Source organism: Homo sapiens, chromosome 22 (assembly GCF_000001405.40).
Source record: "Homo sapiens chromosome 22, GRCh38.p14 Primary Assembly".
Lineage (NCBI taxonomy): Eukaryota > Metazoa > Chordata > Mammalia > Primates > Hominidae > Homo > Homo sapiens.
The window spans coordinates 49,490,424-49,504,479 of NC_000022.11; the positions used below are offsets into that span (position 1 = coordinate 49,490,424).

Below are 14,056 nucleotides of genomic sequence, written 5' to 3' on the forward strand. Positions count from 1 at the left end.
CCCACAGCTGCATCCTGGACCCCAGCCAGGTCCGCCCTATATCTTGCGCTTCTTCTGGTACTTCCCTAAAGAGAGCAGCCCGGTCTTCTCCCAATTCCCATCCCCAGATCGCGGAAGAATCTATGATAACGACACCATGAAGGCCTCATTAACATGGAAATGAACAGCCAGACACCTACGCCCTCTGCACAGCAGCTTCTTCACTGGGGGCCTGGAGGAGGCCCTGGAAGGTGGGGAGAAGCCAGAACCGCAGGCCCTGCTGGAAAGGCTGAGTGTGGGGGCTGCAGGGACCTCAGGGCAGGCAGCCGTACCCTGGTGCTGGACGTGGTTGGAGCAGCCCAGCCTGGCTCAGCCCCAAGCGCTGGGTCTTTGGATCCCAAACCAAGAGTCCTATCCCCCTTTCCCCCTCTCCCAGACATCCATGGCCTGGGTCCCAACCCACAGACCGCCTGGACCCATGTGAACGGCGAGCCCGACGCCCATAGCGCAACTAAAACCTCAAGGAGGAGCCCGGCAGGCCCAGCCGCGGAGACCTCGAGCAAATCCGTCACTGCAGGTTTGAAAGGTGGATGCAGTGTTTGCTGCCGGCAGGATGAGCCCAGTTCCCAGGCCAGCACCAGAAGAAGGCAGCGCATGGGAGCTCACGGACAAGGCCCAGGACCGGTGTCCTGAGGGGCAGGGCCTGGGTAGGACAGGAGCGCCCTAACACCTCCCTGCCCGTTCCTTTGTGCCCCAGGAAACAGGGAAAGGAGGCCAGCACCATCCTGTCCAGCGCAGGCCAGAGGTGCCTGCAGGGATGTTTGGTTTTGCGTCCTCCATCAAGTCAGGGGTTGTGTTCCAGGCCCAGCTCCTCCAGGCTGCAACCAGGCCCTCCCACGAGCCAGGGGTCCTCCTTGCAGCTGCCTCTTCCCAGGCCTGGCCTCACCATCCTCTCTGCCGCCCGGGACTGGCTGCCCCTCTGGCCCCAGCTGGATGCCAGGAATGTGGTCCAGGTCTGCTTCCCATGGCTCTGGGATATCCAAGAAAGGGATCCCACCCAGGAAAGCCACTCAGTCCACCGGCCACTCCATCCCACACAGGAACACTCCTCTCCAGTCCCTCCTGTCCGGGGCCTCTGAGACCAGGCAGCTCAGACGGGGGTTTGTGTCCAAAGTGAGCCGGGAGCCCCTTCTCTGTAGCAGCCCCAAGTGCTCCTGGCGCCCCTTGGAAGTGCTGGGGCCTGATGTGGCTCTCATGGCCTCCTGGGGCCATCCACACTCCAATCCCTCCCTCCCCTGAAGCCCTCCAGGGCCATCCACACTCCAATCCCTCCCTCCCCTGAAGCCCTCCAGGGCCATCCACACTCCAATCCCTCCCTCCCCTGAAGCCCTCCCCGGCCATCTGCACTCCCATCCCTTCCTCCTCTGAAGCCCTTGGTGTTTTGGCCTTCACTCCCGGCTGTGCGGGTCCTCGCAGGGGCGTGAGCTGTGGTTTGGGGATGCTGCCCACAACCAAGCAGTCTTCCAGCTTCCGTCCCCTCCTTCCCGCCGTGAAGCAGCCAAGTCAGGCACTGGGCCCCGGCTTACTTTGAGGGCTGCGCCCCCTCCAAGTGCGTTCTGCAAGTGCCGTGAAGGTGTAGCGCCGGGGTTCACATCAGGGGCTCACCTGGCCTGGACCCCAGGAGGCCCCCAAAGTACACTCAGACGGTTCTCCCCCAGGCTGAGGTCAGCCCCAGGTCCCCAGCCCTCCTGTGCCTGGCCCCATCTCTAAAACGCCTTGCTCAGGCCCCCAGGTGGGCACAGCCCGCCCTCCTCCTACCTCCCCAGCTGCTCTTCCTCCATCTTTACTGTTTCTTGACCGCCCCAGCCTCAGGGCCTTCAAGGAGCTGTCACCTTTCCCTGGAAATTCCCATGGTCAACTTCATAACCCTTTCAAGCCTTTACTCAAAGCCCGTGGCCCCCCAGCTGTACCCAGTGGCCCCTCCAGGCTCTGTTCCAAGGCGCCAACGAAATCTCCTAACCTGACTCCTGTGCGGGTTTCCTCTTCTGCGCGGCCAGCTGCCCGGGAAGGAAGGTGGCCCACTGTGCACCTGGTGGCACCTGTCGCTTCCGGACTCCAGCAGGGTCCACAGGCTGGTTGGGAACTTGCCCGTGGATCCTCCGACTCGTGTGTATTTGGTTCCTGTCCAGGGCTCATCGGAGAGGCTGAGACCTCCACATGGTTTCCTGTGCCTGCACCGTCACCCACGCTCACCCACAGCCCTCGGAGATAACATCAAACTCTTAAACCGGGAAGGTTTGTGCAAACAGCAGTGACCTCCAGAAGCCACTGTCAGTAACTAAGTGCCCACCTTTCCTGAGAGGCCGTCTCCTCGCGTAACGTGCCAGTGCAGTCCCGAGCTATTTTTAAGTCCGCCGGCAGAGGCCGAGGGATTGAATGTGTTATTATCCAATGATGGCTGGTGATCATCAATTACTTAACCGAGAGAATCAAAGTACAAATTGCCGGGTTCACTCAATTACTGCTAAAATGGTATAAAAGCATTTTAATTGTAATCAGAACGTACTGTCTCCAGTGTAGATATTAAAGGGAATAGTGAGTCATAAATACAGTGACCCATTTATCTCCTTATCTGCTTACCAAACAGAAACATTACACCCAGCAAATGGATTCAAAAACCAGAACCAAGTTAATTAGGTTTACTGAATTAGTGGAACATCTAAATTGGATTCCATTCCGCTGTTTAGTTGAAGTTTATCTTAGCTTGGAGCTGATTTTCCAGCTGAAGAAGGAGTGTCAAGTAAAGTAATGAACCTACTACAAAATTATTTTCTTAAAAAAATTATAGTAAAAGACCCATCCATCAGACTTATTTATCTTTTTTTTTCTTTTGTAGAGATGGTTTGAGAACGTCACTGATAATTTTTCCCTCAAGAGCCACACCTTATTCTCTTGTTACATCAGGGTCCTTTCTTCCCGCAGGGGCAGGAGGAAGGGGCTTGTCACTTGAGATCAGGGTTTTAGATTTAGTACAGGATGGGTGTCCCTGTTCCCAGGCCTGGGCTGCTGCCCTGGGAGGCCCGGGTTGGTGGGCTCCCTTTCTTTGTTTTTTTGAGACTGCGTCTTGCTCTGTTGCCCAGGAGGGAATGCAATGATGCAATCTCGGCTCACTGCAACCTCCGTCTCCCGGGTTCAAGCGATTCTCCTGCCTCAGCCTCCTGAATAGCTGGCATTACAGGCACCTGCCACCATGCCTGGCTAATTTTTGTATTTTTAGTAGAGATGGGGTTTCACCATGTTGGCCAGGCTGGTCTCTAACTCCTGACATCAGGTCATCCACCCGCCTCGGCCTCCCAAAGTGCTGGGATTACAGGCCTGAGCTACCACACCCGGTCTCAGTAGGTTCCTTTATTTCAGTTGTCTGAGGACTGTTTCTGGTTTTGCTCCTCAATATAGGGATCACAAGAGAGTCTACGCTGAGGACGTGGAGCACTAGTGAGAGCTAGTGGAGAGCAGGGCCAGGGACACCAGTGGCTTCCATGGTTATTGTTTGAGTTTGGCTGAACAGCCTGTGAGTATGGGCTGAGCTCCCTGGGCAGGGATGGACACAGCGGAGGCCCGAGCCTTCTCACTGCAGCTCAGCCAGCCCTGTAGGCTGGGGGGCCATGCTCCCACCCCCACTTCCACTGCAGTTGGAGCAGAGAGCAGAGGGCAGGCACTCTGACCTGAGACCTAGAAGCCAGAGACACCTTGACCTGTGTGCTTGGTTTCCATAGGCATGGAGGCCTGTGGAAGCAGCTGTCCCGGGCCCAGGGCAGATGCAGAGAGGCAGAGCCGAAGGACCCAGCCCTGCCCTGGGGTGGTGCCATGGGAGAGGCAGGTAGGCAGGCAGCAAGGGCAGAGGCACAGGTGCAGTGGAAGGGCTGGGCAGGGGTGTCCGGGGCCGTGTGGAAGGGCTGGGCAGGGGTGTCCGGGGCCGTGTGGAAGGGCTGGGCAGGGGTGTCCGGGGCCGTGTGGAAGGGCTGGGCAGGGGTGTCCGGGGCCCTGTGGAAGAGCTGGGCAGGGGTGTCCGGGGCCGTGTGGAAGGGCTGGGCAGGGGTGTCCGGGGACGTGTGGAAGGGCTGGGCAGGGGTGTCCGGGGCCGTGTGGAAGGGCTGGGCAGGGGTGTCCGGGGCCGTGTGCAGCCTTGCTTCACCCGCAGGAGCACCTAGGATACAGATGATGGGCAGATACCCAGGGGTCTCCAGGCGGTGGGAGCGCACCCCAGCAGGCTGCAGGCCTGGGGCGCGGACAGGCCTGACCTGGAGACTCTGGGCCATGGGAAGCCCCCATCCACATGGGCAGGGGGAATCTGTCATTCTGAACAGTGAAACAAAGCACGGAGAGCCCACTCAAGTTCTCACTTCTAGAGAAGAGGCAGCCTCGCCTGTGTTCCCAGCTTCAGCCAGATATGCATGCGCTTGCAGAGGCTGGCACGCTCTGAGAGCCAAAGCCAGAGACGGGAAGTGGGAATCACTCCAAGGCTGGAGGGACACACAGACCCATGAGGATGGCCAGAGGAGGACGGAGATCATACAGGGAGGTCCTGTTCTAAGAGGTCATGGGTAGGAACCTTCCGCGAATGCGGGAGGAAAACCCTCTCCTGGGCCATCTAGGGCAGCCAGACACATCACACACAGAGGAATTCTACACTTCCCACAGGTCAAAGGCAGGCCATCTACAGGGCAGCATCCTGGAACTGACTGCAGGTGCTCACCAGCAACAGGGTGCTCACCCACAACAGGATGCAGAGACAACGCAGCCTTCACACCGGAGGAACCAACAGGGCGAGCCCCAAATTCTACACTGCTGGTAACACAGAGACACATTCGTGCAACAAATCAAGGCTCAGCAAACAAATGGTGAAGGCTCATCATAAATATCAAAAGGCATTGGTGATAAATAAGAACAAAAAATAACAACATCTGACAAAATAATTGATGAGAGAATCGTGGGTGCTGTGGGGACGGGTGAGTGTGGACAGAAGTTAAATCACGCTAATTTCCGTCTCATCCAGGAGGAGGATAGATACACTGAATGCTTTTGGATTTATTTTAAAAGATATGCTTAAAATGTAAGGGTAATAAATATGTCTTGTGTGTTCATACACAAATGTACACACATAGAATGCACCAAACTGACAGAGGGAAATAAACTGAAAATAACAAGGGTTAGCAATTATATAGTTCTCTGCAGTTTTATATGACACTTAACAGACATTAATTTATTTACTCTTCACCCAAATGCTATGGTAAGAAGTTATTATTATATCTGTCAAAATTGGAGTCATATCAACTTAGGAAAAATTTTAAAGTCTATTGTCAAACAATTAGAGAAGGCACAGCTCACAATCCGAGAAACTTTAAACCAAGTGTAAAAAGCATGTCTTATGGCAGTCACAGCACAGTTAATAAAGCATAAAAAGGAACTAATCCAACTTTTTCATGATTAACTAGCATACTTCAACTTTTTTTTTTTTAAAAGGAGTCTTGCTCTGTTGCCCAGGCTGGAGTGCAGTGGCACCATCTCAGCTCACTGCAACCTCCGCCTCCCAGGTTCAAGTGATTCTCCTGCCTCAGCCTCCTGAGTAGCTGGGATTACAGGCCTGTGCCACCACACCTGGCTAATTTTTGTATTTTTAGTAGAGACGGGGTTTCACCATGTAGGACGGGCTGGTCTCGAACTCCTCACCTCAGGTGATCCACCCACCTGGACCTCCCAAAGTGCTGGGATTACAGGCATGAGCCACCATGCCCGGCCCACTTTAACTTTTTTTTTTTTTTTTTTAGCACAAGTAGAGCTGTTTGAGCTGTTTTGTCGAAGGTTGATTCGTTTACTTTCACTGAATCACGACGGTAAGAATGTGAAGCTTACGTTTTGTGTTTCATTTACGACTAGAGCTAGAATTTTGAGGAAATCAGGATGATTTGTTTTGGCTGTGAGGTTATGGGTGGCTGGTTATGAGGTATGTCTAAAGTGTGGCCTCCATCTTTATTTTTCTTTAACATCCACATTTCCTGAATGGAGAATCTGAGCCACTCAGAGGTGAAGTAACTTGTCCAAGGACACTCAGCAGATAAGTGACTGAGCTAAAATTCAAAACTAGGCCAGAGTCCGTGCCCTTAACCACTATTAAATACGGCCTCTGAAGAAAATTGAATCAATCACAATAATGTCAAGAAAAGTGGCGGGGGAGAAAAAACAAAGACAGGGATTGATATGTACAAAGCACAAAATAAGTGGACAGAAATTAGTCCAACTGTATGAAAAATCCAACAAATATAAGTGTGTTAAATATACTTTTTAAAATACAGAGACTCTCAAACAAATTAGGTTAAAAATAATTCAAGCTACGTGGTGTTTATAAAAAACATGCCATTAAATGCTGAGCCCAATGGCTCATGCCTGTAACCCCAGCACTTTGGGGAGGCCGAGGTGGGCAGATCATTTGAGGCCAGGAGTTTGAGACCAGCCTGACCAACATGGTGAAACCCCATCTCTACCAAAAACACAAAATCAGCTGGGCGTGGTGGTGCACGTCTATAATCCCAGCTACTTGGGAGGCTGAGGCAGGAGAATTGCTTGAACCCGGGAGGCAGAGTTTGCAGTGAGCCGAGATTCGTGCCACTGCACTCCAGCCTGGGCAACGAGAGCAAAATTCCGCCTCAAAAAAAAAAGAAAGAAAAGTAAAGAAACATGCCATTTTAAAAGGAGACACAGAGAAAGAGAGAGAATTATACTCAAGGCATATGCTTGCGAAAATAACATAAGGCAACAAAAAGAATAATTCCAATTTTTAAAAAGGGCCAATGGAAAATTGATCAAGGAGACACAGGAATGTGAACATTAAATACAAATAATAACATAATTTCAAAAATATTTTTAAGAACTGAAAGGATTACAGGGAAAATTTGGAAGATTCACAATCACCATGGGAGGGTCTTTGTAGCACAGTTCTGTCAGGAAATACAATCATATATTGCGTAACAATAGGAAGAGGGAGGGAGAAATGTGTCATTAGGTGATTCTGTCATTGTTTGCTCATCGTAGAGTATACTGACTCAAACCTAGATGGCATAGTCTCCTGTAGGCCCAGGCTGTGTGGCAGATCCTATTGTTCCTAACCTACACACCTGTACAGCATGTACAGGTACTATAAGGGATACTGTAAGCAACTGTAACACAATGGTAAGTGTCTGTATATCTAAACATTTCTAAACATAGAAAAAGTACAGTCAAAATACGGTATTATAATCTTATGGGACCACCGTCACGTATGTAGTCCCTCTTGCATCAAAAGGTTGTTATGTGCTGCATGACTCTAATAGAATGAGTAAGAAGAGGCCGGGCCTGGGATTACACGCCTGTAATCCCAGCACTTTGGGAGGCCAAGGCGGGCTGATCACCTGAGGTCAGGAGTTTGAGACCAGCCTGGCCCACATGATGAAACCCCTTCTCTACTAAAAACACAAAAATTAGTAGGGCGTGGTGGCACATGCCTGTAATCCCAGCTACTTGGGAGGCTGAGGCAGGAGAATTGCTTGAACCCGGGAGTTGGAGCTTGCAGTGAGCCCAGATCATGCCATTCATTGCACTCCAGCCTGGGCAACAGAGCTAGACTCTGTCTCAAAAAAAAAAAAAAAAAAAAAGAATGAGTGAGAAGATGATATGTAAGCATTTAGAAGACTGAATAACATAATTAACAGGCTTACGATTACCTGTGCAACGCTGAGTGCCTCTCCTCGAACCCAACAGGGCGCATATTTGTCCTATGGAAGTGCACAACCTACATTTATTAACACTGAAGAGGCGCAAACATTCCAGTGGATTTTCCATCACAAGTCGTTTGGCAGGAACTGGCCGGTGCCTTTTAAGGTTCTTCTGACCTTCATTCACACTGTGGCCGAAGTCCTTGCTGCCTCTCAGAACCCCTTGATCTTTTTCCCCACTCCTCCTCACCTGAAGCTGGCCCAACCTTCCAATTCAGCACACATTTGCTTTAGGAGATGCCTGTCAGCTGGCTTCCCAGAAAACATGACTCTCTCCTTTCTCTGAACTTTGAGCGCACCTGTGATATGAAATACGACAGCTCGCTCATCACATACTCTTTTTATTCATTGCCAGAATATAATATTCCTAGAGTCCCCACTCTGTGCCAGTACCCTTCCAGCCACTGGGGAGAGGGTTGTGAGTAAAATAGTTTCTGCTCCTCATGGAACTTACATGCTAGTGGGGAGCACCACTTGACTTGTGCTGGGAAGAACACGAAGCGAGAGAATGGCTCCCGGCAGGGACGAGGAGGGTCATATTTTAAACAGGGCAGCCAGGGAAGTCCTTGGTGGCCAATCAGACTGGAACGGAGGGAACGGAGGTGTAAACAAACGAGCAAGAATGAGTATCCATAGCCAGATTTGTTAGTGCCTCACATCTAGGAATACCCTTTTGTTTGCCTTGGTTCTTAAAAATAACTGTGTTGAAAACTCTCTCACCAATTGCCGTCCAAAGCCTTGGATTACACACGATTAATTCTCCCAAAACAGCCTGCATCTTCTCCTATAAATATCTAAGGATTCTCTGGCTGGGGGTGGTGGCGCACACCTGTAATCCCAGCACTCTGGGAGACCAAGGCAGGTGGATTACTTGAGGCCAGGAGCTCAAGACCAGCCTGGCTAACATAGTGAAACCTCATCTCTAGAAAAAAATACAAAAATTAGCCGGGTGTGGTGACGCACACCTGTAATCCCAGCTACTAGGTAGGTTGAAGCACAAGAATTGCTTGAACCCGGGAGGTAGAGGTTGCTGTGAGCTGAGATTGCACCACTGCACTCCAGCCTGGGCAACAGAGTGAAACTCTGTCTCTAAAAAATAGATAGATAGATAGATAGATAGATAGATAGATAGATAGATAGATAGAGCGATACAGATAGAGATGGATTCTCTGTACAGAAACACTGGTACTGACTGTTTTTAAGTATGTCTTATGGACTCCTAGAGTAAGAAAGGAACATGTCTCATATTTAGATGAATTCCAGGAAATGAAAGAATTGGAGATACTGAGAAAATTGCTTAAGTCTCTTTCCTAGTCAAACTGAGTCAAGGCACTGGGACCCCTGCTATGGTTTCCAGGAGGTGTCTCCTCCCCCAGCAGCCCCAACCTGCCCATAGCACTCTCTTGATGTGGTCTCATGGGAGACAGCATTACTGTCACCCAACTGTCATTCATGAGTTTATGTAAATGTATATAACCAAAAGTTAGGCTTAGCACTGAACGAAAGGACCATAAAGTTTTCACTACCAGACATGGCAGATATGTCTGCTCTTAGCCATGTTGAAGAGACTATGAAGTGCATTTGCAGAAGGAAACAGTAAAAGGCAACAGAGCTGAGACTGAAATGATGAGCAGACAATTCCACACATACCCAGAGTGACACTGTAATTAGCCAGGGTTCTCCAGAGAAACAGAACCAGTAGGGGATAGATGGATTAGATAGGGAGAGAGAGAGAGAGAGACAGAGAGACAGAGATAATAGATAAGATAGATAGATGATAGATAGATTAGATAGCATAAATTAGACATATAGATGATAGATTAGATAGATACATGATAGAAGAGATACATGATAGCTTAGATAGGTAGATAAGACAGATGATAGATGATAGATAGATACATAGATAAGATGGCATAGACTAGACAGATGATAGATTAGATAGATAGATAACAGATAGATAGTAGATAGATTAGACACATAGGTGATAGATTTGATAGGTAGATAAAGATAGATAATACATACATACATAGATGGTAGATTTGATAAAGACAATAGATTAGATAGATAATAGATTAGATAGATGATACATATATTAGATAGATAGTAGATAGATTAGATAGATGATAGATTTGATAGATAGATTGGATAGATAATAGATAGGATAGATTAGATAGATGGATAGATTAGATAGGATAGATTAGACAGATAGGATAGATGATAGATAGATAGATAGATAATTAGATTGATAGATTAAATAGATGATAGATGATAGATAGATAGATAATAGATAAATAGATAATTATCAGGAATTGGCTCCTTCTCATGGAGGCTGAGAAGTCTCACAGTATGTGGTCTGCAAGTTGGAGACCCAGGAAAGCCAGTAGTATAATTTAGTCTGATCTAAATCAGACTAAATCACCATCACCATAATAATCACCACCATCATCATCACCATCACCTTAATCACCATCACCATCATCATCACCATCATCACTCTCATTATCACTACCATCACCATTATCATTATTCCCTCATTATCATCAACACCATCACCATTGTTATCACCATCATCATCACTATCATCACTACCATCACTATCACTATCACTATCACCATGATCACTATCATCATCACCATCATCACCCATCATCACTATTATCACCATCACTATCACCAAAACCATGATCATCACCACCATCATGACCATCACCACCATCATCTTCACCATTACCACCATCATCATCACCATCATCACTCTCATTATCACTACCATCACCATTATTATCCCCATCACCATCATCACCACCATCGCCAGTGTTATCACCATCATCATCATCACTATCATCACTAGTATCATCACTCTCACCATCATCACTATCATCATCACCACCATCACTATCATCACCATCACTATCACCATCACCATGATTATCACCATCACTATCACCATAACCACAATGAACCACCATCACCATGACCATCACCATAATCATATCACCATCATCATCACCATTATCACCATCACCATCATCACCATCATTATCACTATCATCACCATTATCATCATCACCTTCATTATCATCATCACTGTTATCATCACTACCATCACGATCACCATTATCATTATCCCCATCATCATCACCACCATCACCATTGTTATCATCATCACTATCACTATAATTATCACTATCACCATCATCATCATCACCATCACCATGACTATCATCACTGTCATGATCATCACCATCATCTATCATCACTATCATCAGATAATGAATTATCTTTTACTGTCTGTGGACAATTATCATAGGACAAGATTTCTCTATCTTGGCACTATTGACATCTGAGGTCTGGATAATTCTTTGTTGTGGGAAGTTGCCCTGTGCGCTGTAGGACATTTACTAACATCCCTGGCCTCCACCCACTAGATGCCAGTAGCAACTGCCACCCCTAGTTGTGACAGCCTGTAATATTTCCAGACATTTCCGTATATCCCCTGGGGTCAGAGTAGCCCCTGTTTGAGACCCACTGCTCAAGAACCATTTGCTCTTGCTCTGAAAGCAGGATCCTATGCTCATAGACTCACGTTCCAATGCAAAAAATGAGCATGCCTGTGTCTGCCTGTGGAGGAGCATATGGGGAAAGGCAGGATTGAATTTAGATTCTTATGCGGCCTACCAGGGATATCATACGGCAGAGAATATCACATTGATTATTTTTTCATGTACACTGAAATTGGAAAATGTAAATCTGGATGACACCTTGTGAAAACCCAGATAGAGTCACCAATGTGAACCTGCTGGAAGGACGGAGAGTCAGGATGACTTGTCTCTGTTGTCAGGACTTTAAGTTACAGATGGAAAGATTCCTTTTACCCAAATGCCAAACACCAATTTTGAAAACACACTCAAACATCTGCCTTCCCCTCAGTCATATTCAGACACCCTCTGTTCTTTGATGTCACTGCTGAATTCCAAAAATGCCCAATTTTACTTGGGACTCATCTTCCCTGATGTGATGGTTGGAAGTTGGGAATTAATCAGCTTCACCTCCCCCAGCTGGGAGGAGATTCGAAGAGTGGTGGTATTGGAAGGGATGGTGACTCACTGAAAAGACATCACGGAAATGGTGCAAAGGGCAACTGAAAAGCCGCAAACAGCAGAAACCGCCGAGACGCCTGCAAGAGCTTCAGATCCTTAATCTTCATTTTCCACTTCTTTGATCTGCACTTTGATTAGCTTCTCACTTTCTCCATCTGCTTGAATTTGTCGCTATTAATTTACAATAGATTTCCTTGTGCCCTTATGCCAACTGTTTCTCTCGAGTCAGTGGAGTTCTGACAATCAGAGGAGAGGGGCAGGTGAGCGTGGAACAGCGTGTCCACATCAGCACAGATATCCAAGAGCAGGGTTCGGGGGTTACAGAGTGAAGACACAGCTCCCTCCTCACACCAGGTACATCCCATGCTGTGTGACATCTTCTGGCCTCACTCTCACAATCGTTGGGATGCCTCAAATAGAGCTGCCTTCTCGGAAACTCTGCCAGCTTCCCATCTGGGAGGCTAGGATGATGATAGACTCTTGATGTCTAACAGAGACCAATTTTTGTTGAATACTTGATGCGGCCCCCAGGGGTAGGCAAAGGAGTGACTGTGGAGGTAAGAGGGGGAATTGAGGCACAGGAAGACGCCCATAGTGGAGCATATCCTTTTAATTTACACCACGCCTTCCAAATTCTTTCTCCTTTAGCTCCAGGAAAATCTCACACTCTTGAAGGTCACTGCCTCCCATGGCACCACTGGGTTCTGTCCTCAATGCTGAAATCTGCCACCTAAGGCCACATCTCTGGGCTCTCATTCCCTCCCCTCTCACAGTGACATCTTGGAGACCTGCACCCCCCATCACTCTTTCCACCTCCATGTGTGAACTCACCTGGGCCAATTTCAAAATTCAAGAAGACGGCCTCATGGCCTTATGTGCACAGATCTTACAAGTGCTTACTAGGATAAAATTGTGCCTAACTCCTGGAGGACCAACTGTACCACACACCCCAGTTCACCTAAGTTTCGATTTGGCCAAGATGTATTTTTCGCCTATACAACTTCCAAGAAAAAAAAATTCAAGAAGTGCTCAGCTCTGGCTGAGCTACACCAATTTAAACAATTTAATTTTTTTTATGTTGTCAAGTAGAACATGTCAAGTAACTCCTTGGTTAAATTATCATGTAAGGCCAGTCCTGCTAATTTTCTTGAAACCAAGTTATAATCAGCCTCAATGTGGTTTGGCTGGGTCTGTCTCTTGAGGTTGAAAGCCATTTGCACATTATAAATAACAGCTTTCACTTCTCATCAAGATTTTTAAAGTCTTGAAATCAGGTTGCAACCCCAGCAAAATGTTAAATGCAGACAACACTCAGAGGCCTGGAGTAACTTACTCGGAGTCTCTCAACTGATAAAGGCCCCACTCTCTGGTTCTCTAGCAGAGGTCTCTTTGGCCTCAGAGCCCTCTGGCCACTCCTCCAAACTTGACCTCTCTCTCTGTGACCCTCCAACTCTACAGCCCACCTCCCACACTCACTCCTTTCTTTATGCCTCCGAAGCGAGACACTCTGGCACAGCCATCTGGAGCAAGCAACTTTCATGAGACCAACTTGATGCAGGAACATTCAGACATGGCTTAACAAAACCCACGTTATTATAGTTTCAAGCATTTTTATGGGTTTTACAACAGTCACAACAAAACCTGAAGCAACCCTGCCTAACTTGAGCTGAGGCATGGGCTAGAGCTCTCCATGCCGCCCTATGCCCAATTCTCTCATCCCTTTGGGCTCAAGGGGCCCTCGTGCCTGCCACTGCCTTGCAGCTGGTGGGACCATGTGACTAGCTCTGTGATGGTCCTGAGCAGTTGCAGGACAAGCCATTTGGGGCCAGAGCCCTCACTCGCTGGTGTGATTCCCCCAGTGCTTTGCTGCCTGGCCACCGCAATCCTAGATTGAAATGGAGGGTGCTTAGGGTCAGAGCAGCCTGAGGAATTCTGAGTCAAGTCATGGGGGATGATTACCTGAGAGACAGAGGGACTGGCCTGGATTTGCATGAGTCAGAAATAAGCTTTTGACATGTCAACCCACAGAGATCTGAGGTTTCTGATTACTGCAACAAACCAAGATCATCCCCACTGATCTTACCCTTACTGTGTCACAGATGCCTGCTCCAGCTGCCTCATCTCCTCTTGTGTTCACAACAGACCTAGAAACCAGTGTCTCCCAGCATG

At 48.2% G+C, this 14,056-nt stretch overlaps 1 long non-coding RNA gene across 2 annotated transcripts in view, besides 1 other annotated feature; it reads right to left on the bottom strand.

The window, feature by feature from the left end:
- MIR3667HG (MIR3667 host gene) overlaps positions 1-14,056 on the bottom strand; it is a 242,996-nt gene that overhangs the window by 75,900 nt on the left and 153,040 nt on the right. The gene's annotated exons all lie outside the window — the stretch shown is intronic.
- Positions 13,844-14,044: a silencer, noted in NCBI's record as "peak4517 fragment used in MPRA reporter construct". NCBI's record gives its function as "represses an SCP1 promoter by STARR-seq MPRAs in K562 erythroleukemia cells {active_cell/tissue: K562}" and the evidence as "EXISTENCE:reporter gene assay evidence [ECO:0000049][PMID:32103011]".